Below are 23,343 nucleotides of genomic sequence, written 5' to 3' on the forward strand. Positions count from 1 at the left end.
GCCAGTGTCTGTGTTCATGTTCAGGTGGCTTTGCAGATGCACAGGTCACACCTCCTAGACTGGGCTCTGTGGCACACAGCTACCCAGCCCCTGGGCCGGTGGCAGCCATGTCACCAGGAAGTACAGTGCTTAGGAGCAGGGCTGGGTCAGGCTGGCCTGCGTCTGGTTCCTACCTTTGGCCCTCAGTGAGGAGCATGTGAAGCTCAGCCCCCAGCCAGGCTCAGCTTCTCCTCACGATGCTGGGAGCCCTTCCTCCCTGGGTTCGCTGGCTGTTCGCCCAGGCTGCAGGGCCGCCTGACCTCCTGCTCGGGGCTTACAGATCAGTCCCCCACAGGCCTTTGCCTGATGGTGAAATGGGGAAATTCTGTCACTGAACCTGCCCTGCCGCAGGAGCGGGGGCATCCATAGCCTCTGATCAGAAGTGGTGGCATGTGGGGCAAGAAGGGTCGTGAGTTCATCTATACCCCCACGTACTTCCAAAGGCATCCAAGCTGCTGAAGGTAACAGGCACGAACCAAAAATGCATGTGATGTAAAATGAAACCAGTCAGGAGAAGCTGTCCTGGCCCCAGCCAGGGGGCAAGAGCTGAGTTTCCTGGTTCCTTCCCACACTGTGCTTCAGCCCACCCCAGGGGAGACTCCCGAGGCCACAGTGGGCTCCCCGTGGCCCGCTTTTGGTGGAAACCCAGATTCAGAGAAATATTTCTCCACCATAATAAAAACTGCAAGTGTGATGAGAAGTGGTAGCTGACACTTGGCCTCAGTGTCAGGGAGGCACCACGAGAGTGATAAGGACTCTGGCTAACAGCAGAATTTTCCAGGCCAGCCCTGCCTGCGAGGGCGGCTGGGAAGTGGAGCTGCGCTGTGCTGAGCAGAGTGTCAGCTGGGACGGAACGGAGTGCTGGCAGCAAAGGTGGGGGGTGGTCCTGAGTGGGCACCTCGTTCCCACGGAACAGGGTATGTTTCATTTGTATTTCAACCTTCTCAACTCCTAAAAAAAGCTCTCAGGGTAGAGGGGAGCAATCGAGGCAAGAAATATTTTCCTTAGAGGCTAGAAAGCTGGCGGGGGGTTGGAGGGTCACACACAAAGTTGAGGGTCCTGTAACCCCCGCTTATTATTCCACAGGGCACTAGGGGAATGAAGCTGGCCTGGAGCGGGGCCCCACTGCCTCTTGGAGGCAACCCCCCCACCCCAAGCAAGGGACAACACAGCCCTCTGGCTCTAGCCAGAGAAGATGTGAGACATGAAGGGCAGTGGGGGTCAGGGGCCAGGGGCCAGTACAGTCATCTCAAGGCCCTGGGTGACAGTAAGTGCCCCGTAAATGAGGGTCCTCTTTGTGAATATTTATGGACCTGCAGGAGAGCAGGCAGGCATCAGCCACACTCCCCCTGCCTGGGGAGGCCGCCTGGCAGACCTGGGGGGTCTTAGCATCAGTTGGGACCAGTCTGGTGCTGGGGACAGAAGGAACCTCTGCGCATACAGGCAGCTGCCAGCTAATACCCTGATGTAAATGGGGAAGAAAATAAGTCTTTGCTTACAGAAAAAAAAGGGCACAAAAATGTAGTTGGTTCATTTTGTGGCGAAGATGAGCCATACGCTCCTATCTGCTGGTGGGAGGGCAGCTGGCTCACACTCTCCAGAGGACACTGTGGTGACAGCTCTCCAAAGCCTGAAAACGGCCCAGCAGTTCCACTCATGGGGCAAAAGGAAAGTGCATGAAAACCGCACTCCAAGAATGGTCATCCCGGCAATATCTGAATGAGGATAAATGGAAAACAACTTCCTTGTCCATGAATGAGGGACTGGTGAGATAAATGATGATAGAATATTTACCAACAGCTCAAGATTCTAAGGATGTGGAAAAATGTTTAGAATGTTATCAGACCAGCATTTTACCACCTTTAGGGAGAGAGAAACATTTCACCCTCTCCTTAAATGCTGTTTGAGATTTTAAAATGACTAAAAACGAAAGTAGAAATTTTAGTACATCCTTTTATACAAATACACATACTGGCACTCCAGCGCGCACCCATTCATCCCTAATATGGAAGACCTGGTGGTTCCTTTCAACCACCACTTCTTCCCCGAGCCCTGTTGTCTTTGCTAAGAGAACCCATGTGGTTCGTGTAATGGGTGACTGTATGCTTCAAGGGGAAACAGAGCCAGTTCTCGGTTCAGGTTGTTCCTGGTCATTCCCTCTACTTGTCTGAGATTGGCTGAGGAATGGGTCTGTGACCTTATTTGGCAGGAGAATGAAGCGATTAAAAAAAACAAAACAAAACAAAACAAAACAAAAAAAAACGAAGTCTCGCTCTGTCGCCCAGGCTGGAGTGCAGTGGCACCATCTCAGCTCACGGCCACTGCAATCTTCGCCTCGTGGGTTCAAGCGATTCTCCTGTCTCAGCCTCCTGAGTAGCTGGGATTACAGGTGCCCGTCACCATGCCCAGCTAATTTTTGTATTTTTAGTAGTGATGGGGTTTTGCCCTGTTGGCCAGGCTGGTCTCGAACTCCTGACCCCAGGTGATCCGCCCACCTCGGCCTCCCAAAGTGCTGGGATTACAGGTGTGAGCCACCGCGCCTGGCCTGAAGCAATCTTTTGAGGAATTTCTAAAACTTTCCTTACTCTCAAAAAGACACTCAAGGAAGGGACATGTTCTCTTCCCATTGTCTGACCTTTGCCTCCCATTACTTGAGGATGTAATGCCTCCACCTGCTGCAGCCATTTGGAGACCAGGAGGGAACACCTTGCCACCATGCTGAGGATGGCAGAGCAGAAAGACAGAAGGCTTGTATGTTGTCAAGGACACTGCTGGAGCAGTTAATTAACCAGTCCTGGAACTGACCTCCCTCTGGATCTCATGACATGGGGCAATACATGTTCTGTATCTGCCATTTCTGGTTGGGTATTTTGTTACAACAGAAATAATGCTGTTATAACTTCATGAACTGAGAAAAGCAGATTTCAGAACCATATCAATAGATGTGGCTCTATAAATTAAATTAGCAGTATGTGTATACAGGAAAAAAATCTTAAAGGATAGACATAGAGTTTTAACTTAACTTTGGTTCTCTCCAAGTGGAAGGATTATAGGTAAATTTTTTTTTTTTTTTGAGATGGAGTTTTGCTCTTGTTGCCCAGGCTAGAGTGCAGTGGCACGATCTTCGCTCACTGCAACCTCCATCTCCCAGGTTCAAGAGATTCTCCTGCCTCAGCCTCCCAAGTAGCTGGGACTACAGGCCCCTGCCACCACGCCTGGCTAATTTTGTATTTTCAGTAGAGACGGGGTTTCACCATGTTGTTCAGGCTGGTCTTAAACTCCTGACCTCAAGTGATCCACCTACCTCAGCCTCCTAAAGTGCTGGGATTATAAGCATGAGCCACCGCATCTGGCCGATTATAGGTAACTTTTAAAATCTTGCTGTTTGCATATACTTTCTATTTCTCTCATAAAGAATATTTATTAAGTCAATAATAAGGAACACACATGTTCTTTGACCAGAACTAGAGGAGCAGTGCATTAGATGGAGTGACTTGAAGGCCCCTAGGGAAACAGGTGAGGGTCCAAACTGATGCAGTCACCACGGAGAGGCCTGTGGCCCTTCCACCCACGATTCCTCTTCTAGCCCTGGGGCAAAGATTGGCAAATTACTGCCTGTGGCCCAAATCCAGCCCGCCTCCTGTGTCTGTACTACCTAAGAGCTAAAAATGGTTTTAACATTTTTTAAAGGTTGGGGAAAAAAACAGAAGAGTAAGGCCAGGTGTGGTGGCTCACACCTGTAATCCCAACACTTTGGAAGGCCAAGGTGGGAAGACTGCTTGAGCCCAGGAGTTTGAGACCAGCCTGGGCAACATAGGGAGACCCTGTCTCTCTATATATAATTAAAAAAAACTAGCCAGCATGTTGGTGTACACCTGTGGTCCCAGTTACTCAGAAGGCTGAACCCAGGAGGTCAAGGCTAAAGTGAGCTGTGATCGTGCCACTGCACTGTAGCCTGGGTGATAGAATGAGACCCTGTCTCAAGAAAAAAAAATCACAGATTCACAAGAAGTTGCAAAAAAGATAGTACAGAAAGGTCCCATGTACCCTTCCCCCCGTTACCCTCAGTGGTAACATCTTGCACAACTACAGAATAGTTTCACAACCAAGAAACTGGCATTGCCACAGTCCACAGATCTTGTTCCAACTTCATTAGTTTTACAGGCACTCGTGTGTGTGTGTGTTTAGTTCTACGCAATTTTATATCGTGTAGATTCGCATAACCACCATCACAGGGAAGTTGCCTTTTATAGAAGTATTCCAGCTGCCAAACAAAGAAGAAATCATTGAATTGGAATATCTCTATTTTGTAACTTCCAGTGAAATAATGGATCTAAGTGGGAAGTAACAGCCTTAATAGCTGCTAATTCCCCAAAGGGAGAGAACTCGACATAATATGCCTCCTGATGAGAGAATACGCATCAAGTATTCTTACCACAGAGATCAGACCCAAATCCAAGCAAACCCCAACAGCCAGCTACCATGCAATACATGCACACATTCAACACCCTTTCACGATCAAAACACTCAACCACCTAGGAATAGAGGGAAACTACTGCAACACAATACAGGCCATCTAGGATAACAGCTGACAGCATACTCAATGGTGAATGACTGGAAGCTTATCCTCTAAGATCAGGAACAAGGCAAGGATACCTACATTCACCACTTCAATTCGACGTAGTACTGGAAGTTCTAGCCAGAGCAATTAAGCAAGAAAACCAAAGAAAAGATACCCTGGTTGGTAAGAAAGAAGCTAAAATTATCTCATGGATGACATGATCTTATATGTAGATAACCCTGAAGATTCCACAAGAAAAAAACTGTTCAAACTAATAAATAAATTCAGCAAAGTTGCAGGATACAAAGTCAACACACAAAAGTCAGCTGCATTTCCATAAACAGTGGACAATCAGAAAAGGAAATTAAGAAAAAAATCCCATTTATAATAGCATCAAAAAGAATTAAATAGGAATAAATTTAACCAAGCAGCAAGAAAGACTTGTACACTGAACACTATAAAACATGCTGAAAGAAATTTTAAAAGACACAAATAGGGCCAGGCATGGTGTCTGACGCCTGTAATCCCAGCACTTTGGGAGGCCAAGACCTCCCAAATCACTTGAGGCCAGAATTCAAGACCAGCCTGGGCAACACAGTGAAACCCTGTTTCAACAAAAAAAAATTAAGAATTAGCCATGCGTGGCACATGCCTGTGGTGCCAGTTACTTGGGAGGTTGAGGTGGGAGGATCTCTTGAACCAAGAGTTCAAGGCTGCAATGAGCCATGACTGCACCACTGCACTCCAGCCTGGGTGACAGAGCGAGACCCTGTCTCAAAAAAACAACAACAAAACGATCTATACTGCCCAAAGTGGATCTACAGATTCAATGCAATCCCTATAAATGGCATTTTTTACAGAAATAGAGAAATAAAACCATCCTAAAATTCATATGGGATCTCAAGGGACCCTGAATAGCCAAAACAATCTTTAAAAAGAACAAAGGTGGAGGCGTTACACTTCATGATTTCAAAGTATATTACAGAGCTACAGTAATCAAACTAGTGTGGTACTGGCATGAAAACAGGTATACACTCATAGACCAATGGAATGGAATAGAGAGCCCAAAAATAAACCCTCACATATATGGTCAAATGATGTTCGACAGGAGTACCAAAACCACTCAATGGGGAAAGGACTGTCTCTTCACCAGATAGTGTTGGGAAAACTGGACATTCATAAGGAAAGGAATGAAGTTAGACCCCTACCTTATTCTGTATACAAAAATTACCTCAAAATAGATAAAAGACCTAAATGTATGACCCAAAACTATAAAGACAACTTAAGGGGAAACTTCATGACATTGGATTTGGCAATGATTTCTTAGATATTATACCAAAAGCATAGGCAGTAAAAGCGAAAATAGACAAATGGGATTACATCAAACTTTTTTTTTTTTTTTTTTTTTTGAGACAGAGTCTTGCTCTGTTATCCAGGCTGGAGTGCAGTGGCGCAATCTTGGCTCACTGCAATCTTTGCCTCCTGGGTTCAAGCGATTCTCCTGCCTCAGCCTCCTGAGTAGCTGGGATTACAGGCATGCGCCACCACACCCAGCTAATTTTTGTATTTTTAGTAGAGATGGGGTTTCACCATGTTGGCCAGGCTGGCCTCAAACTCCTGACCTCAGGTGATCTGCCCACCTCAGCCTCCGAAAGTGCTAAGATTACAGGTGTGAGCCATCACGCCCAGCCGACTACATCAAACTTTTAAATTTTTGCACATCAAAAGAAATAACAGTATGAAAAAGATAACCTATGGAATGGGAGAAAATATTTGCAAATCATGTATCTGATAAGGGATCAATATCCAGACTATATAAAGAACTGCAAATAAAAAACAAAAAATTTACCCAATTAAAAAGTGGGCAAAGGGCTGGGCACAGTGGCTCATGCCTGTAGTCCCAGCACTTTAGGAGGCCGAGATAGGAGATAATTTGAGCCCAGGAGTTTGAGACAAGCCTGGGCAACATAGAGAGATCCCGTCTCTATTTTTAAAATAACAAAAATTAAAAGTGAGCAAAGGACTTGAATAGACATTTCTCCAAAGAAGATATATAAATGGCCGAAAAGCATATGAAAAGATGCTCAACATCACTAATCATTAGAGAAATATGAATCAAAACAATAAGATATCATCTCACCCCATTAGGAAGGCTGCTATAAAAACAAACAAACCCCAGAAAATAACAAGCGTTAGCAAAGAGGTGGAGAAATGGGGACTCCTGTGCTGCAGGTGGGAATATAAAATGGTACCGCTGGCCGGGTGTGGTGGCTCATGCCTGTAATCTCAGCACTTTGGGAGGCTGAGGCAGGTGGATCGCTTGAGTCCAGGAGTTTGAGACCAGCTTGTGCAATATGATGAAACCCCGTCTCTACTAAAAATACAAAAAAATTAGCCAGGCATGGTGGCGTGCCTCTGTCATCCCAGCTACTCCGGCGACTGAGGTGGGAGGATCACCTGAGCCTGGGAGGTCGAGGCTGCAGTGAGCTAAGATCATGCCAACTGTATTTTAGCCTGGGTAATCGGAGTCAGACTCTATCTCAAAAAAATAAAATATATTAAGTTCAGGTGTACAATAAGAAAATTAATTAAAATATAAATAAAAATGATAAAATGGGTACAGCTGCTATGGAAACAGTATGGAGACTCCTCAAAACATTAAAAATAGAACGCCGTATAGTCCTGCAGTTCCACTTGAACCGCCTCCTCCTCCTCACATAGGACCTGAAATATGTTACCAGTGGAGATTCGCATGTCTGAAAACCTGGACCTACTCCCATCCCTTAAGCTCACCCCTGCCTTAAGTGATTTCCTCTCATCTCTCATTTATGAAGCTGCAGCCTTGAATCATTCCCATAAGAAGTATTTATTTTTCTACTTTTGCACAATATGTGCAAATAAACAGTAGGAAATTGGAGGTAAACAGAGAGAACAACTACTCCCAGTGCTAAAACAACAAGCAGGCTGAAGTAAACATTTAGGCTCTGGCAAACTCTAAAGGACAAATAATCCAGTTTCCTCAACAAACACGTCGCAAGAAAAAAGTTAGATGTGAAGGTAATACTGTCTCAGCCTGTTCAGGCTGCAAAATACCACAGACTGGGTAGCTTTTATACAACAAAAATTTATTTATCTTAGTTCTGGAGGCTGAGAAGTCCAAGATTAAGGCACTGGTAGATTCAGTGTCTGGCAAGGGCCCAATTCCTGGTTCACAGACGGTCAGCTCGCTGGGTCTTCCTGTGCTGGGAGAACTCCATTCTCTTCAGCCCCTTGTAAGGGCACCCATCCCATTCGTGAAGGCCCCACCCACATGACCTAATCAGCTCCCAAAGTGCCCTCCTAATACAAGCACACTGGGGGGATTAGATTTCAACGTTTGTTTTTTCTTGGGGGGACATATGCAGTCCGTAGCAGGTATCATGTTTTAAAAGCCCTCGTCTCTTAGATAAACACTGAAAAATTCACAAATGAGACAGACATCTAGAATTTGCTTCAGAAGAGTTCAGGAGTAGGAAAGTGGATGGCAAGGGTAGAGACAAAACCAGATTGGCCACAAGTTGGTAACTAACTGTTCAATTGCTGAAGCTGGGATTCATTATACTAGTATCACTTTTTTGCTTTTTTTTTTTTTTTTTTTTTGAGACAGGGTCTCACTCTGCTGCCCACGCTGGACTGCACTGGTGCCATCACAGCTCAGTGAAGCCTGGAACTTCTGGCCTCAAGTGATCCTCCCACCTCAGCCTCCCAAGTAGCTGGGGACCAAAGGCATGTGCCACCATCCCAGCTAATTTTTTTTTAATGGGGTCTCACTATGTTGCCCAGATTAGGCTTCATGTCTTTTGTAAACAAAAAGGTTTTAAAAACAGACAAATTAGGCCGGGCGTGGTGGCTCACGCCTGTAATCCCAGCGCTTTGGGAGGCCGAGGCGGGTGGATCACGAGGTAAGGAGATCGAGACCATCCTGGCTAACATGGTGAAACCCCGTCTCTACTAAAAATACAAAAAATTAGCCGGGCGTGGTGGCAGGTGCCTGTAGTCCCAGCTACTCAGGAGGCTGAGGCAGGAGAATGGTGTGAACCCGGGAGGCAGAGCTTGCAGTGAGCCGAGATTGCGCCACTGCATTCCAGCCTGGGTGACAGAGCGAGACTCCGTCTCAAAGAAAAAAAAAAATAGACAAATTGGGGCTTAAGTGAGATAACAGTTTATTTTTCATATAACAGACCTAGAGGCAGGCAGCACGGGCAGGCCATGGGGGCAGCTTCCAGAGCATCAGGGCCAGCTGCTGTAGCTGCTGCCCACCCCTTCCTCGCTTGGCCCCCTCAGCTTCATAGAGCAGCTCCATCTCCAGCCATCACAGCCATTCCAGCCAGGAAGAAGGGCTGGGTGGGAAGGGCAAGCTCCCTTCCTTGAAGGCCATGCCCAGACACCACACAAAGCACCTCTCCATCCAGGGACCAGACAGTCATCTGACCACACGTGGCTGCAGGAAAGGCTAGGGAAGGCAATCTTTACTATAGGTGGCCACAGATTTGAAAACCGGGGCTTCTACTACCAAGGGGGAGGGGATGGAGACTGGGGTACGATTTGGTGTCTGCCACAGCTCTCATCCCTGAGATTGGTAATCTAGCATCCTAGGTGCCACAGATCGGCCAGCAGAGCTAATGCTGTCCAGCTGGTGGGCCCAATGAGGTTTAAATATGTTTGTCATTTACATGTACATGTAATGTACATGAAGCAATCTGCTCTGAAGTCTCTGTTCCCTTTTGGATGCGGAGCAAGCACCTGGCTTCCTTAGCTCTCCCAGGGTAGGTGTGCGTCTCCAGGAAACTGCTACCCCCGACAGCCAGGGTGGCAATGCCGTTTCCTATGCTATAGCTCAAAGCAATCCAGCACCTGAGCCTGGCTTTGGCCCAAGGCCTGGGTATTTGTTCAGCCAGCAAATGAAATGGAGAAACCTGTTCAGTGTCTGCCCTGACAGCTGAGCTGCCTGGTGGGAGCCCACACAGCAGCGTGGTCAGTGGGTGGGCACAGGCCTGCTGCTGCTGCCTTAAGATTTCTGCCATGTATTTTGCTTTTAAGTCAATCCTCACTTAAGAAAAAAACACCTTTTTTGTTTTGTTTTGTTTTTCCAAGATGGAGTTTCACTCCTGTCAACCCAGGCCGGAGTGCAATGGCACAATCTTGGCTCATTATAACCTCCGTCTCTCGGGTTCAGGCGATTCTCCTGCCTCAGCTTCCTAAGTAGCTGGGATTACAGGCACCCGCCACCATGCCCAGCTAATTTTTGTATTTTTAGTAGAGACGGGGTTTCACCATGTTGGCCAGGCTAGTCAACCTCCTAACCTCAGGTGATCCTCCTGCCTCGGCCTCCCAAAGTGCTGGGATTACAGGCGTGAGCCACCGCACCCGGCCCTTAAATTGATTTTTAAAGCAAACCTATCACTGTTACAATGGAAAAGTAGTATGGCCTGCCCTAGAAGGTAACAAAACCTGGCTAAGAGCCTGCCACACGCTGTGTCTGATGCCAGGTTTCTCTGTTAAAGACAAGGTAGCATCGAACTGACTCCCTCCTCAAGACAGTTAAATGGATGGAAAAAAATTCAAATGGAATTAACTTTTAAAAAACATCTTCCAATGTTATTAATGCCTCTTTGTCTCTACTAACAAGCATTTCTCCTGGATGATGCAGTCCCCTCTTTGGGAAACATCTGAACTCTGTGTACCGCCATTTCCCCATATGTAAGATGGAGATGGTAACAGTGCCTATTTAATAGGATGACTGAAGCTAGTAAGTAAGATCATGCACATAGTCTCAGGATACAAATGCCTGGCGGGAGGATCACTCGAGCCTAGGAGATTGAGACCAGCCTGGGCAATATAGTGAGACCCCACCTCTACAAAAAATTAAAATTAGCCAGACATAGTGGTGCCCACCTGTAGCTACTTGGGAGGCTGAGGTGGGAGGATCACTCAAGTCCAAGAGGTCCAGGCTACAGCTAGCCATGATCACACAACCGTACTCCAGACTGGGAAGTAACAGAGCCCGTCTTAAACTAAAAAAAAAAAACATGGCCGGGCGTAGTGGATCACACCTATAATCCCAGCACTTTGGGAGGCCGAGGCAGGCAGATCACGAGGACAGGAGATCGAGACCATCCTGGCTAATACAGTGAAATCCCGTCTCTACTAAAAATAACGAAAAATTAGCCAGGTGTGGTAGTCCCAGCTACTTGGGAGGCTGAGGCAGGAGAATGGCGTGAACCCAAGAGGCGGAACTTGCAGTGAGCTGACATAGCGCCACTGTGCTCCAGCCTGGGCGACAGAGCAAGACTCCGTCTCGAAAAAAAAAAAAATTTTTTTTACAAAAAATTAAAAAAATAAAAAGTGCCAGGCTCGCAGTATAGCACTCAAATGCTATTTGTCAGTTTCATGGAAGAGAAAATTTAAGTCTTGTCATTAAAAAACTAAATACAGCTTAAGGAAAAATAAACTCCCAAGTAACCAAACTTCAAAGCAGGGCCAGGGGACATAAAACCCCAAACACTTCATTTAACAATGGAAGACACTTTATTATTATTATTTTTAATCATCTCTCAACATTTCAACTCTTGGTAGAAATCAAATGTAAAACATCTGCATTTTTAAATTAGCATGTATTTAACTATCTCAATCACAGCAACCTCATCCAGTAAGATGCACACCTGGGAGCAGGGCTGTAGTATTTCGTATTCCAGTCTGTGACCACAGTGCGTCCGTGATGACAGGTACACTGGACTTTCCCTCCTAGGATGTGTTAGTCATTCCTGCTTTTGTCCATAGGGTAAGTTACGTGGCATCACGGTTGGTTAGAAAGAGTTAGTTACTGTAATGCTGGCGCAATCTGGAAATGGAAAACTAGAAAACTAGAGCTCTCAGGAGTGGGCCAGGCATTGCCGATTCTGAAATGTGAAAAGGAAGAACATCAAAGATGAATGCCCTGCTAGGCTGGTCTTAGTAATAAAGTTGGTTGAAATTCAGCTTAATATACACACTGTACATCTACATGTGATCTACCAGATAGATATATATATATATATATATATATATATATATATATATATATATATATATTAAAAAGAGAGCCATAGAAGATTTGGAAAACCTTAAAATCACTCAACTGAGTTGGAAGAACATCAGCAAATTCACAGTGGCCTCAGGATTCAGCCAGACTTAAACTTGCTCAAGAGCTGAATAACTTTCTCCCAGAAAAGCCCACTGCATATAAATCCCTTAACATTGTGTACATCACAAACAGTTATGGCTAAAATATAGTTAGTTCACAAGGAAGCGGCTTTATTTTCAAACTCTTGCCCCACTCCTGCTCTTGTACCCCCACAAGGAAAATCCAGGGGTTGGTAATTCACATGAGAAGCTGAAGGGGCCTTCAGGCTTGGAAGCGCTTAGGCTTAGCTGAGCATCTGAGGAGCCGTCTCTCTGATGGGCACATGCCGACTCCTGCCCACTTTTAGTGCAAAAAGATTGCAAATGTTGCAGATGAGTCCTGGAAACTGGTGAAGAGAAGAGGATTGAGATGGAGGGGCAGTAGGAATCCCAAATGATTTTCCTTCTGAAACGAGACTCAAGAAGTGTGAAGTGCAAGGTTCCTGCTCAGCAAGCTATAGGTCCGACAGGTGAGGTCCCTGAATTGTCATAGGTTAGCAGTCTGCAGACACACAGACCTCGACACCCGCGCTCACCCCCTAAGTGCACACTGGAGGTAGGTGTATAGATAGTTACTGCAGGGAAGACAGTGGCTCTCCACCAGCTCAAGAAAAGGAGGCTTCATGTCTGTTCCTCCCTGCCCCAAACTCTCCTCTCCCCTCGGGCCATAGTGAGTGGAGGATACAACACGAATGGGCGCGAGGCCCTCCCTTGGAAGACTAAAGAACCCAGGGCATTTAATAAATAGCTACATAATTCATTTTTTTAACCACGTTGAAACACACAGCAAGTTGAATATTTATTTAAAAATAAATCTCAAAAATATCTATTGACAGTACAGTAAGAGGGGCATGTGCAAACAACAGAAAGGGGGAAGTCAGTCCTGCTGTGGGAAGCCCACACATCAGTGTGTTGGAGCAAAGTTCACGAAGGCCATGGGCTGACTGAGCTGTGGTGTACGAAATGACATTCAGCTAATACTGGACTCGGTTCACCTTTGACACCTGGAGAGGTGGGGAAGCCAGGGGGTGGGGAGTCCAGCTGGGGATCCTTGTGTTTAGGAAGGGGGCGGCCAAGGGATGAGCCTTTGGGAGAGGCCCCGTGTGGCAGGAGGGCTCATTTCACAAGCCAACAGGCCTCTAGCTCGCCGCTCCAGGTGGATGTTTGGTGACCTGAAGGGCCCTTCCCAGTCCAAGTTGGCTTTGCAATGGGAGGGGTAGGTGCAGCGAGGGTCCCAGAGACAGAAATCCTCTTTAAAGGAAAAAACAAAACAACAAAACAAAACAAAACAAAACCCCAAAAAAAGAACCAACTGAACAGGGAGTGGAGAGATTAGCAAAATGAATCTGAACGGAAGTGCCACCTTCTCCCTTGTCAGACAACAAAGCAGCCATTGGTTGAGATATCTGAGTCGCTAAGTGAACTCCCACGTGGACACAGCCAGCCCACGATCTCTGCCACCTACATGGTCAAGTGCAGGCCTCCGCCTCTGAGATCAATGCGTTAGTACTTCTTCACCGTGAAACCCGAAAGGTCGGTTGATGTAGCCCTTGGAGCTGGAAGGGGCGAGGCCGGTCTATCTGTACACGAGATGGGAGAGCTGGGTGGACTTGTAGTTCAGCTGGTTGTTGGGCATGAACTTGTGCAGCTCACTCTTTTTGTAGCAGGGGTCATAATGGTAAGCGCTGAGGCAGGCGTCACATGAGACTTTTGAACACTGGGTGCAGGTGTTGGTGGCGCCTGGGCGGTTGCAGAAGCCACAGCGGGAAGTGGGCGTGGTGGAGGGCTTGGATTTGGAGTGAAGGTGCGGGAGGCGGTCGAGGCCCTGAGTCTGGCCTGGGTACTTCTCCCGCAGAGATGCCCCGTGGGCCAGGCTGTCATGAGTCGAGGCCTTGCTGGGGAAGGCGCTGGGCTTGGAAGCTGGAGGACAGGTGAGCAGGCTGTCACAGCGCTGGCAGAGGGAGGAGCTGCAGGACAGCCCGCAGCTTTGGCACTTGGAGAGGGCGGACTCTTTGGCAGGGGGCGAGCGCTTGTGGTAGAGGGAGTGGGCATCGTTTCTGAGCAGCCACACATCCGGCCGCAGAGCATCCTGCCGACGGTAGGTGGCCCTGGGTTCAGAGTCTGTGTACAGATCCACGTCATCCTGAGTGGAGAAGTAGGTACCGCGCAGCAGGGCCGGGCCGTTGCTGGGGGAGGCGGGTGGAAGCACATCCGGGCTGCCGTGGGGGGAGCTGGCCATGGTCAGCAGCGAAGGGGATGGGCGGATGATCTCATCCTTGAGGTCGTCCCCCACATCCGTTGCCACAGGCTCCTTCCGAAGACTCAATGAGGCCTTCAGGGGTGGCTTCCGGCTCTCCCAGTAGCTGTCATAGGCATCCACTGACCTCGAGGGCTTGGTCACGCGGGGCTTGTAGTAGTCCTTGGCCGCCCGCTCGCTGGCCGACTTCTGGAGTGCCACTCGTGACATGGAGGCCGTCAGGTGCTCCCGGCCCTCTGCCCGCCGCCGCAGGGCGTCCGAGCAGCCGCGCACATCCTCTGCACTGCTCTTGCGCTCGCTCACAATGTCCAGCTCGGAGTAGCCCTTGTCCTTCACTTGTGAGTGGATTTCTAGCATCTGCTCACACTCGACTTTGGCCAGAAAGAGCTCAAAGGAGACCATCTTCACCTGGAGGGTCTCCACGAGCTCTCTGAGCTTGTATGCAGTGCCCAGCTCAGGTGTGTAGCCCATGCAGCTCAGGATGGCTCGGATGTCCTCTTCCAGTAATGTCGACTTGACATAATAAACAAAAGGGCCCGTGTAGGTCTAGAAGGGAGGGAGTAGAAAAGAAAGGTGGGGTTTTCTGTCAGAGACACAAGACAGAGACTATGTCAAAGCAAAGGATGTCCAGCTCTGAAGTGGGGCGGCGGGGAGAGGGCAGGGCAGGGAAGGATCTCGACAGCCTCACCCTGCGGGAGGCAGAAGACGCAGGAGCTGGGGCTTGCTAAGCACTCAGGAATTGTGCAAGGAAATGACCCAGCAGCTCCTTTCTTTTGTTTGAGACGGAGTCTCGCTCTTTTGCCCAGGGTGGAGTGCGGTGGTGCGATCTTGGCTCACTGCAACCTCCGCCTCCTGGGTTCAAGCGATTCTCCTGCCTCAGCCTCCTGAATAGCTGGGATTACAGGCGCCCGCCAACACGCCCAGCTAATTTTTCTGTTTTTAGTAGAGATGGGGTTTCACCGTGCTGGTCAAGCTGGTCTCAAACTCCTGACCTCGTGATCCACCCGCCTCGGCCTCCCAATGTGCTGGGATTACAGGTGTGAGCCACCGCGCCTGGCAGCAGCTACTTTGTTAAACACAGGAAGCAAAACCTCTCGCTTCCTAGTGGGGCACGAAGACTCTACTCCATATGAAGAGAGAGCCTGGGCAAACATGGCTGAATAAAGGGGCCAGATTACAGGCAGAACGCGGTGACAATCAGAACGTTCCTCTCTGGTATTTCCATGAGGGGCTGAGTAACACGGCAGACTGAAGGGCCTGGCTAGGTGACAGCTCTCCTGTGCCATCCCCTCTCTTGATTACCACTCCTCCCATGGCAGAATGAAGAAGCCTGGCTAGGTGACAGCTCTCCTGTGCCATCCCCCGCGTGGTCTGATTCAGGATCCCTCTCTCAATTCCCCCTCCTCCTCTACTGTTCCCACTTAGTACAGAACACCCCTCAGCTTGCTGGGACCGCTGAGAAGCTTCCTAACTGCTCTCCCCATCCCTCCCACCTCCCCCCACCCCTCTACAGCCTACTTCCCATACCACAGCCAGAATGACCCTCTTCAGATGCAAGCCAGATCCCACACTGCCTCCTTCCCCGCCTACTCAGAACAAATCCAAGCCTTGCCCTGGGCCACAAGACCCTGCATAACCTGGCTGCCCCTGCCTTCCCAGCTTCTCTGCTTAAGGTGTGGCAGCCGGGCCAGAAACGGTTCAGAGGTGATGCTGGAGAGACGGGGAAGGTTCGGAGCCCGGAAGGATCTGAGAGCACAGGATGGATGGGATCAGACTGGCATAGCCTCTCAGGAGGGACTGCCAGGGGCAGGAAGAGAGAAGGAGGGCCTGTATGGAGGCTGCTCCAGGACCTCACCTTGATGCTTCTGAATTCCTTCTTCCACGGGTAGAGGAAGAGGTTGATGCCCACCGTCTCCAGCATGCTGAAGGCGCCGTGCAGAGCCCGCAGGCTAGAGGAGCTGAGCGAGCGCAAGGAGCTCTCCACCACCTCATAGAACTGGATCAGCCGGAATCGATAAAAGGGATCCACCTTGTGCAGGCTGAGCAGGGTTGAGGCTGCCACCCGCAGGCACTCATCGCTGCCAGGCCGCTGCCTGCTGGTGGTGGTATCCACTTTGCTCTCATGGAACTGCACGTACTTCCGAAATAAGTCATCCTTGAATTTAGTATCCATTGAACTGGGCTTCCCCATCCGATCGAGGGGGGCTACCTTATCTCCTCCATGGCTTCTGGATTAGAGGCAGGGACATCACTAAAAGCATGGACATGTTGCCGCCTGGACCAGCGGAGTGCTCTGGAAGGAGGGGAACAAGAAGCATGTCATTCCTCGATACGGTCGCGCTTCGGCTTCAGGTCGCTGAGGCAAAATGAACAGCAGAACTGGCCTGGGCTACACTGGACCCCAGCAGCACACTACAGAGCATGTACTACAAGCAGGGTTACAACAGAGGCCAGAGAGAGATGGACCTTGACTTTGTTGTGCTCACAAATGAAAAATACGATTAATATTCCTGAAAGAGAAATTCGGGTGAGTACAGCAGGAGCTCCTGTCCTGGTTTCGTTGGGGAAGGGCGAGTTTAGGAAAGCCCTCTTGAGACAGCAACAGACCTGAAGGATGAGGAGTCTGCCAGGCCAAGAGGCCGGGGAAGGAGTCGCAGTAGAGGAAGGCCCTGAGCTAATAGTACCAGAGGCTCCAGACACGTGACGAGCTTCACACACACTAACTCGCTTACTTTTTTTTTGAGATGGATCCTTGCTCTGTAGCCCAGGCTGGAGTGCAGTGGCGTGATCTCAGCTCACTGCAACCTCCGCCTCCCGGGTTCAAGCGATTCTCCTGCCTCAGCCTCCCAAGTAGCTGGGATTACAGGCACCTGCCACCACGCCTGGTTAATTTTTGTATTTTTAGTCAAGATGGGGTTTCACCATGTTGGCCAGGCTGGTCTCGAACTCCTGACCTCAAGTGATCCACCAGCCTTGGCCTCCCAAAGTGCCAGGATTACAGGTGTGAGCCCCCATACCCAGCCTCACTTTTTCTTCTTAAACAATCCTAGGAGAGAGACGCTACAGGCAGCCCCAGTGGACCATGTGCAAACTGAGACACAGACATTAGAAACTGCTCAAGGTAGGCCAGGCACAGTGGCTCACACCTGTAATTCCTGAACTTTGGGAGGCTGACGGGGGAGGATGGCTTGAGTCCAGGAGCTCGAGACCAGCCTGGGAAACACGGTGAAACCACGTCTCTACAAAAATACAAAAAAATTTTTAAGAAAAAGAAACTGTCCAAGGTTATAGAACTCTCAGGAGGCAGAGAAGCTGAGCTCAGAACCCAGGCAATCTGGCTCCAAAGTCCATGCCCTTACCCACCACACCCTGCTTTCCTGAGGCAGGAAGCCTGGAACAGTAACAGAACTGCAGCCAGTGAGGCCGAGGCCACGAGGGCAGGGGCATGAGGAGAGGCAGATGCCAGCATCAGCGGGACCCTCAGCCCCAAGGCCGCAAGAGCACATTCAGAATTCGATATTTTATACAAAGAGCCACGTGAAGCCACTGAAGAGTTTACAGCGAGGGGAGAGAGATACGGTCTTATTTACAATTTTCAAAAGAGGCCACCGTGGCTACCGGCCCCTGGAGTGCTGTTACCGGCCTTTGACAGCCTGCGGCCCCTTTATCACCAGAGCGCTTGACAGCCCCCTGTTGGGAGAGGATAGAATGTTCTGAGCTGGGACACAGGCTTTACACAATCTTGTCATCTGCTTAGCCACTTGTTAGTAGAACAGGCACAGATCCAGCAATATTCTTGTCACCACAACGCTGGGAGCGAATCCGGATTAATGGAGGGACACTGCCAGGGCCAGGGGAGACAACACGCGCAGGGTCACGGACACGGGGTCCAAGGCCAGGCACCTGCGAGTGAGGCCAGGGCTGCTTCTCCAGGTTACTTGGGCAAATTGCTCCACCTCCCTGGGTGTCGGTTTTCTCCTATAAAACGGGGTTAATAATAGCGCCTCTGTCCAGAGCTGGCGAGAGGATTATGCATGATGGAATATGAAGCTGCTCAGAGAGCCGGCTCCGGGAAGTCCTTGATGGCCATTGCTGTTGTCTGAAGGTGCTGTACCCCTAAGTGGACAGGCCTTCTCTGAGTGGGGCAAATACCTCTGACTGGGTGGTAGATGTGCATTTTCACATGCTCTGGTCCTGCTGCTCCTGCCCAGAAGCTCCGTGGGTGCAGGCCTGTGACCATCTTGCTCAGTAAGGTGACCTGTGTGCTTCATGTCTGCTGAGTGTGGGAGACAGCAAGGGGCTGAGAGAAGCTGCAGCAGGACTGGGCCTGGCATGTGGGGGACTCCTTTAGCAGACCTGTGTTCAGCTAGGAAGGTCCTACGAGCCCAGCAACTATCAGGAGGTCAACAAAATCATCCTCATCTCAAAGAGCCAGTAGTCTGGCTCCTCCACAGATTTTGTCCCCAGGAGGAGACTCCTGGGAGTACTAATGGTGCGGTGAGAGGTGGGATGTGTAGCAAAACTAGGGACACAGAGAGGCCACTGTCTCCAACACACTGCACTGCTGAGGGAGCCCAGTGCTACAGTGACAAATAAGGCTGAGGAGTACAGGAGGCAAACACATCCATTTAGGGGCCAGGTGCGGGGGCTCACGCCTGTAATCCCTAAACTTTGGAAGGCCAAGGCAGGAGGATTGCTCAAGGCCAGGAGTTCGAGACCAGCCTGGGCAACATAGCAATACCCTGTCTTTACAAAAGAAAACAAAATCCACTTGGGATAAAATTCTGCTTCAGGAAGATTCTCATCATTCAGGCCTCAGCTCAAACATCAGCCTCTAGAGGTACCACCCTATCTCACCTTCCCAGTTCCACACTGTCACATTCTCCTACGATAACCACAATCTGAAACTATCAACTTCATTCATTCATTAGCTTCCTCTCTTTGTCCACCCCTCACCCTCCCTGGTAAGCTGGTAAGCTCGTGGTAAGCTCCATAAAGGCAAGGACCATGTCTGTGTTGTTCACCACGATGCCTAACACAGAGCCTGCCTGTGCTTGATAAAGTAGGTGAAATGGATGCTGCAGCCAGGCACGGTGGCTCACGCCTGTAATCTTAGCACTTTGGGAGGCCGAGGCAGGTGGATTGCCTGAGCTCAGGAGTTCGAGACCAGCCTGGGCAACACGGTGAAACCCCGTCTCTACCAAAATTTAAAAAAAAATTAGACGGGTGTGGCAGCATGCGCCTGTAATCACAGCTACTCGGGAGGCTGAGGCAGGAGAATTGCTAGAACCCAGGAGGCGGAGGCTGCAGTGAGCCGAGATCGCCCCATTGCACTCCAGCCTGGGCAACAGAGCGAGACTCCGTCTCTAAAAAAAAAAAAAGAAAAAGAAAAAGAAAAGAGAAAAAGAGAAATGGATGCTGCAAAGGATGTCTGCATTCACGATGCCATCACTTTAGTTTCTCATTGGTACCTCCCAAGAATCCTGGGAGATCAGCTGGAGAGCAAAGAAACGGGCTCAGAAAGATGGCATGAGGTACGACAAGTAGCTCAAGGTTAGCAGATGATGGACCCGATAATCCAAGCCTGGCCTTCTGACTTGGAACCTGTATTCCTCTCACCACCCCACGATTCCCATGTCCAGCAAGCATTTCTGCAGCCCCCACCCTCTGCCTGAGCTGGACCCAGTCGGGGAATGGGGATGGGTGGGACAGGTAGAGGACAGCAATAAAGGAGACACATCCTGCCTGCAGCTCTAGCTGGAAGAGCATACCACCTAGTATCAAAGTAGGTATGTGCTCTAACTTCATACTGTTCTGTCCATAAAAAAATAAACAATTTAAAATGTATATTCTCTTAAAAAATAAAAATGCAGGCCAGGCGCGGTGGCTCACGCCTGTAATCCTACAACTCTGGGAGGCCAAGGTGGGTGGATCGCCTGAGATTGGGAGTTTGAGACTAGCCTGGCCAACATAGCGAAACCCCGCCTCTACTAAAAATACAAAAATTAGCTGGACGAACACCTGTAATCCCAGCTACTCAGGAGGCTGAGGCAGGAGAATGGCGTGAACCCAGGAGGGAGAGGTTGCAGTGAGCTGAGATCGTGCCATTGCACTCCAGCCTGGGCAACAGAGCAAAAACTCCATCTCTACATAAATAAATGTATTGCACCACTGGAGAGGATAGTCACACATGCATTTACCATTCTTGACTTATCTAAGAGAAGCTGCCATCACGCCTCTGGCCCCAGGGTCTGTTTTTTGGTAGTCTGAGAACCATTCAAACACAGAGACATTAAGCTTCCGAATACTGCTGTAATTTTTCTCCAAGGAAGTCAGCCTTGAACTCAAAGAGACTGATTTTTTACAAAGTCAGCCAGTCTCAAGCTCGGCTCAGCGTCTGCTGCTCTATAATCGCACCACAGTCCACACCCTTGTTTGTTGCTGAAAAACAATAAATAAAGGAAAGGGATCCAAACAGCCCAGCTGATGTTCAAAATACTCACAATAAGGACAGGAAGCCTATCTAAAACAAATCTCAAACCAACCTGGGTAGGTGAGGGAAAAGGCGGAAGAAAGTAAAAGCTAAAAGATAATTAAGGGCAAGACAAGCCTGGACAACATAGTTAGACTCCGTCTCTACAAAAAAAAAAAAAAAAAAAATTAGGTGGGTGTGGTGACACCCACCTGTAGTCTTAGCTACTTGGGAGTCTGAGGTGGGGGGATCCACTGAGCCCAGGAGTTTGAGGCTGCAGTGAGCTATGATGGCACCACTGCACTCCGGCCTGGGTGACAGAGCAAGACCTTGTCTCAATCAGTCAATAAGGAAAGGAAAGAAAGAGACTAACAATTACTGAGGTTCTACTATGTGCTAAGCATTGGGCTTCCCACTTTACCTACATCATCCCATTTAATCCTCACAACTCTATAAGGAAAACAGGCTCTTCCCATTAAAACAACCTGCCCAACAGAGTTTGAAAGGGTCAGAGCTGGAATCTGAACTCTTGCTGGGAGGCCCTTGATGCCTGGGCTTTCTCCAATTTACCTCACTCATTTATTGTTACATCAGTACCATTTACCAAGGGATTACTGTGTGGCATCCCTCTGCTAACTGCTCTGTGAAAACCAATGAAATCCACAGGATAGATCCAAGGTTAAAGAGGAAACTGAGGCTCGGAGAGGCCAACTCACTTACCCTAAGTCGTAAGGCTAGGAAGAAGTGGATCTGAGCTCTGAACCTAGGTCTAACGCCAAAACTCCGACTCTTGCAAAGCCATCCTGCTGCATCTGCTGGACAGCTCTACTCGAAAGTGTTTGGCTAAGTTAGAATGCCTTATGGCGGCGCGAGCAGAGTTGAGTTACAAAAATTCCTGTAGTAGCAAAATTCCCATCTTCCCACACCGAATGGGGCTAGGAGAGCTAATCTCTATATGATGTAAGCTCAAGGGCCAAGGAAAGAGGCTGGTCAGAGACATCGGCCAGTGATGAAGCAGCTGACATCATCCCTGCTGAAAACATTTTCTGAGAATACAAGATGCCTTGTAGCTGGTCATAGCTGGTGTTTTTTCTGAGCACAGAGCCAGCAATTCATTCCCAGCACTCTGCAAGAACAACAAAATACGCTCTCTGCAAAAACATCGTGGTTACAGGAGACCGAGACAGCCCAGCGACAGAAGCTGCTAATTTCTCCAAGCAACCCAAGGATTGGAACGCCAAGCCGTGCCAGTCTGGTGGAAAAAAAAAAAAAAAAAAACCCAAAAAACAAAAAAACAGCACTGTGAATATCCTGAACACAGAGACAGGCAGGTGCCCAGAGTCAACGGCTCCAGTCAGCACCTCCTGCACCCACAATCTAGGTACCTTCTTGAAAAGCAAGTCAATGGAAAAAGAGATATTGCACAGTCAGGGAGCCAGTGGCTTCTTTAGTTATTTTTTGAACATCTAAGAGGAAAGCTGTATCTGTTTAGAGTCCCACTGCATGGAAGTGAAGTGATTCCGAGTAGCTAAGCATTAGCTTGGCTTTACCTCAGCTGGCCCATTCAAGCAGAAATGTTCCCCAAGCAGCATTTGAAGGCGCCCCCTCTCTGCACAGGCAGACCTATTTTGGTCTGTGCACTGCCCCTGTCCACAGGTTTACACATCCCTGGTCTAGCTCCATCAGCCTCCAAACAGGAGACGGGGAAGTCAGTTCAACCCCCTCCACCTCCCCACCCACACCAATGCACTCGTTCCAAGCAAGAGGCTCCGAGAAACATCCAAGGCACCTTCCACTGGCTGTGAAACACCAGAAGGTCCCCACACTCCTACTAGATTCCAAAGAAATTCACACAGAGTCCTTCCAAACCTCTGAAAATAACCTCAGCGGTGCTGAAAGAAGCTTCCCTAGTGGCAGCTGCCTCTCTCGGAGAAGCTCTGAAGGAAGCTGTTTCCCTCCCTGCAGGGGACAGAAGCTGGCGGCTGCTAAGTCCCAGCTCGGTCATTCCTACAGCCTCGGGGGGCCACGTCAGTTGTGAAAAACAGCCCAGTCTCAAATTCTGGCCCCCCCTACGGCTTCGTGAATTGAATGAAGTAACAGGAACTATCACTTATTGGACGCCTGCTGTATGCCAGAGGCCCTGCATGATCTCATTCCATCTCCACTCCAGCCCTAGCAACCAGGTTCAATCACTTAAATAGGCAACTGAGGCTCTTAAGATGAAGTGACTTATCCAAGGTCACACAGTGAGTACAAACCCAGGTGTGCCGCCAGAGCCTGAACTGGGAACCCCTGCGCGGTAACTGCCTCGTGGCGAAATCGGGGTGTCCTTCTGTTTGGCCAGTCGCCGAAGAGGGGTGTTCCTCTTGGGCGGCCCTGAGCCACCCTCGGCGGGTCCCAGGAGCCTGCGAGGCAGCTCCCGGGAGAATGGGGGTCCTGAGGATAGGCTGGGGGTCCCGGGAGCGCCGAAACAGCGGGCCCACCTGTAGTCCTGCCTGCCGTGAGGGTACCCCGCTCCCGGGCCAGCCGAGCCCTGCCGCTGTCTGGCGCCCCCTCCGCCTGGGGAAGCCCCGAAGGCAGTTTCCGCCCGCGGCCGCCCGTCACTCACCCTGACACTGCCGCCGAGGACGGCCCGGCCGAGGGAAGCAAGCGAGAGGCGCGGCTGCCGCCGGAGCCGGGCCCCGTCGGGCTCTAGCCTCTCCGGCCGGCTGCAGGGGTACTGAGACCAGTACCCGGGGGCCAGCAGCGACCCGGAAACACTCGGCCCGGAAATGATGTCACCATGAGGCGGGCCCGAAGAGAGGGTGGACCACG

At 49.6% G+C, this 23,343-nt stretch overlaps 1 protein-coding gene across 5 annotated transcripts, besides 5 other annotated features; it reads right to left on the minus strand.

Annotated features, from left to right (window-relative positions):
- Positions 2,325 to 2,494: an enhancer, noted in NCBI's record as "experimental_60693 CRE fragment used in MPRA reporter constructs". NCBI's record gives its function as "activates a minimal promoter by MPRAs in K562 erythroleukemia cells, with activity observed for both the introgressed and non-introgressed 20:48511189 variant alleles {active_cell/tissue: K562}" and the evidence as "EXISTENCE:reporter gene assay evidence [ECO:0000049][PMID:34662402]".
- SPATA2 (spermatogenesis associated 2) lies at positions 11,149 to 23,287 on the minus strand. Of its 5 annotated transcripts, none has more exons than NM_006038.4 (3): positions 23,138 to 23,287; positions 15,913 to 16,350; positions 11,149 to 14,603 (listed from the first exon to the last, which is right to left on the minus strand). In NM_006038.4, exons 2-3 carry the CDS (start codon positions 16,246 to 16,248, stop codon positions 13,377 to 13,379), a joined length of 1,563 nt encoding a protein of 520 aa, NP_006029.1. In that variant the 5' UTR covers positions 16,249 to 16,350; positions 23,138 to 23,287; the 3' UTR covers positions 11,149 to 13,376. The 5 variants fall into 5 exon arrangements, with proteins under 5 accessions (NP_006029.1, XP_006723957.1, XP_047296580.1 ...); XM_006723894.2 differs by having other exon boundaries at positions 23,013 to 23,287; XM_047440624.1 differs by having other exon boundaries at positions 22,788 to 23,287.
- Positions 17,670 to 17,964: an enhancer, noted in NCBI's record as "tiled region #10189; HepG2 Activating DNase matched - State 5:Enh". NCBI's record gives its function as "activates a minimal TATA promoter and a strong SV40 promoter by Sharpr-MPRA in HepG2 cells {active_cell/tissue: HepG2}" and the evidence as "EXISTENCE:reporter gene assay evidence [ECO:0000049][PMID:27701403]".
- Positions 22,305 to 22,474: an enhancer, noted in NCBI's record as "experimental_60705 CRE fragment used in MPRA reporter constructs". NCBI's record gives its function as "activates a minimal promoter by MPRAs in K562 erythroleukemia cells, with activity observed for both the introgressed and non-introgressed 20:48531169 variant alleles {active_cell/tissue: K562}" and the evidence as "EXISTENCE:reporter gene assay evidence [ECO:0000049][PMID:34662402]".
- Positions 22,989 to 23,238: a silencer, noted in NCBI's record as "silent region_13006". NCBI's record gives its function as "represses an Ori minimal core promoter by ATAC-STARR-seq in GM12878 lymphoblastoid cells {active_cell/tissue: GM12878}" and the evidence as "EXISTENCE:reporter gene assay evidence [ECO:0000049][PMID:35858748]".
- Positions 23,269 to 23,328: an enhancer, noted in NCBI's record as "active region_18077". NCBI's record gives its function as "activates an Ori minimal core promoter by ATAC-STARR-seq in GM12878 lymphoblastoid cells {active_cell/tissue: GM12878}" and the evidence as "EXISTENCE:reporter gene assay evidence [ECO:0000049][PMID:35858748]".

The sequence above is a fragment of the Homo sapiens genome, chromosome 20, assembly GCF_000001405.40.
Source record: "Homo sapiens chromosome 20, GRCh38.p14 Primary Assembly".
Taxonomy (NCBI): Eukaryota; Metazoa; Chordata; class Mammalia; order Primates; family Hominidae; genus Homo; species Homo sapiens.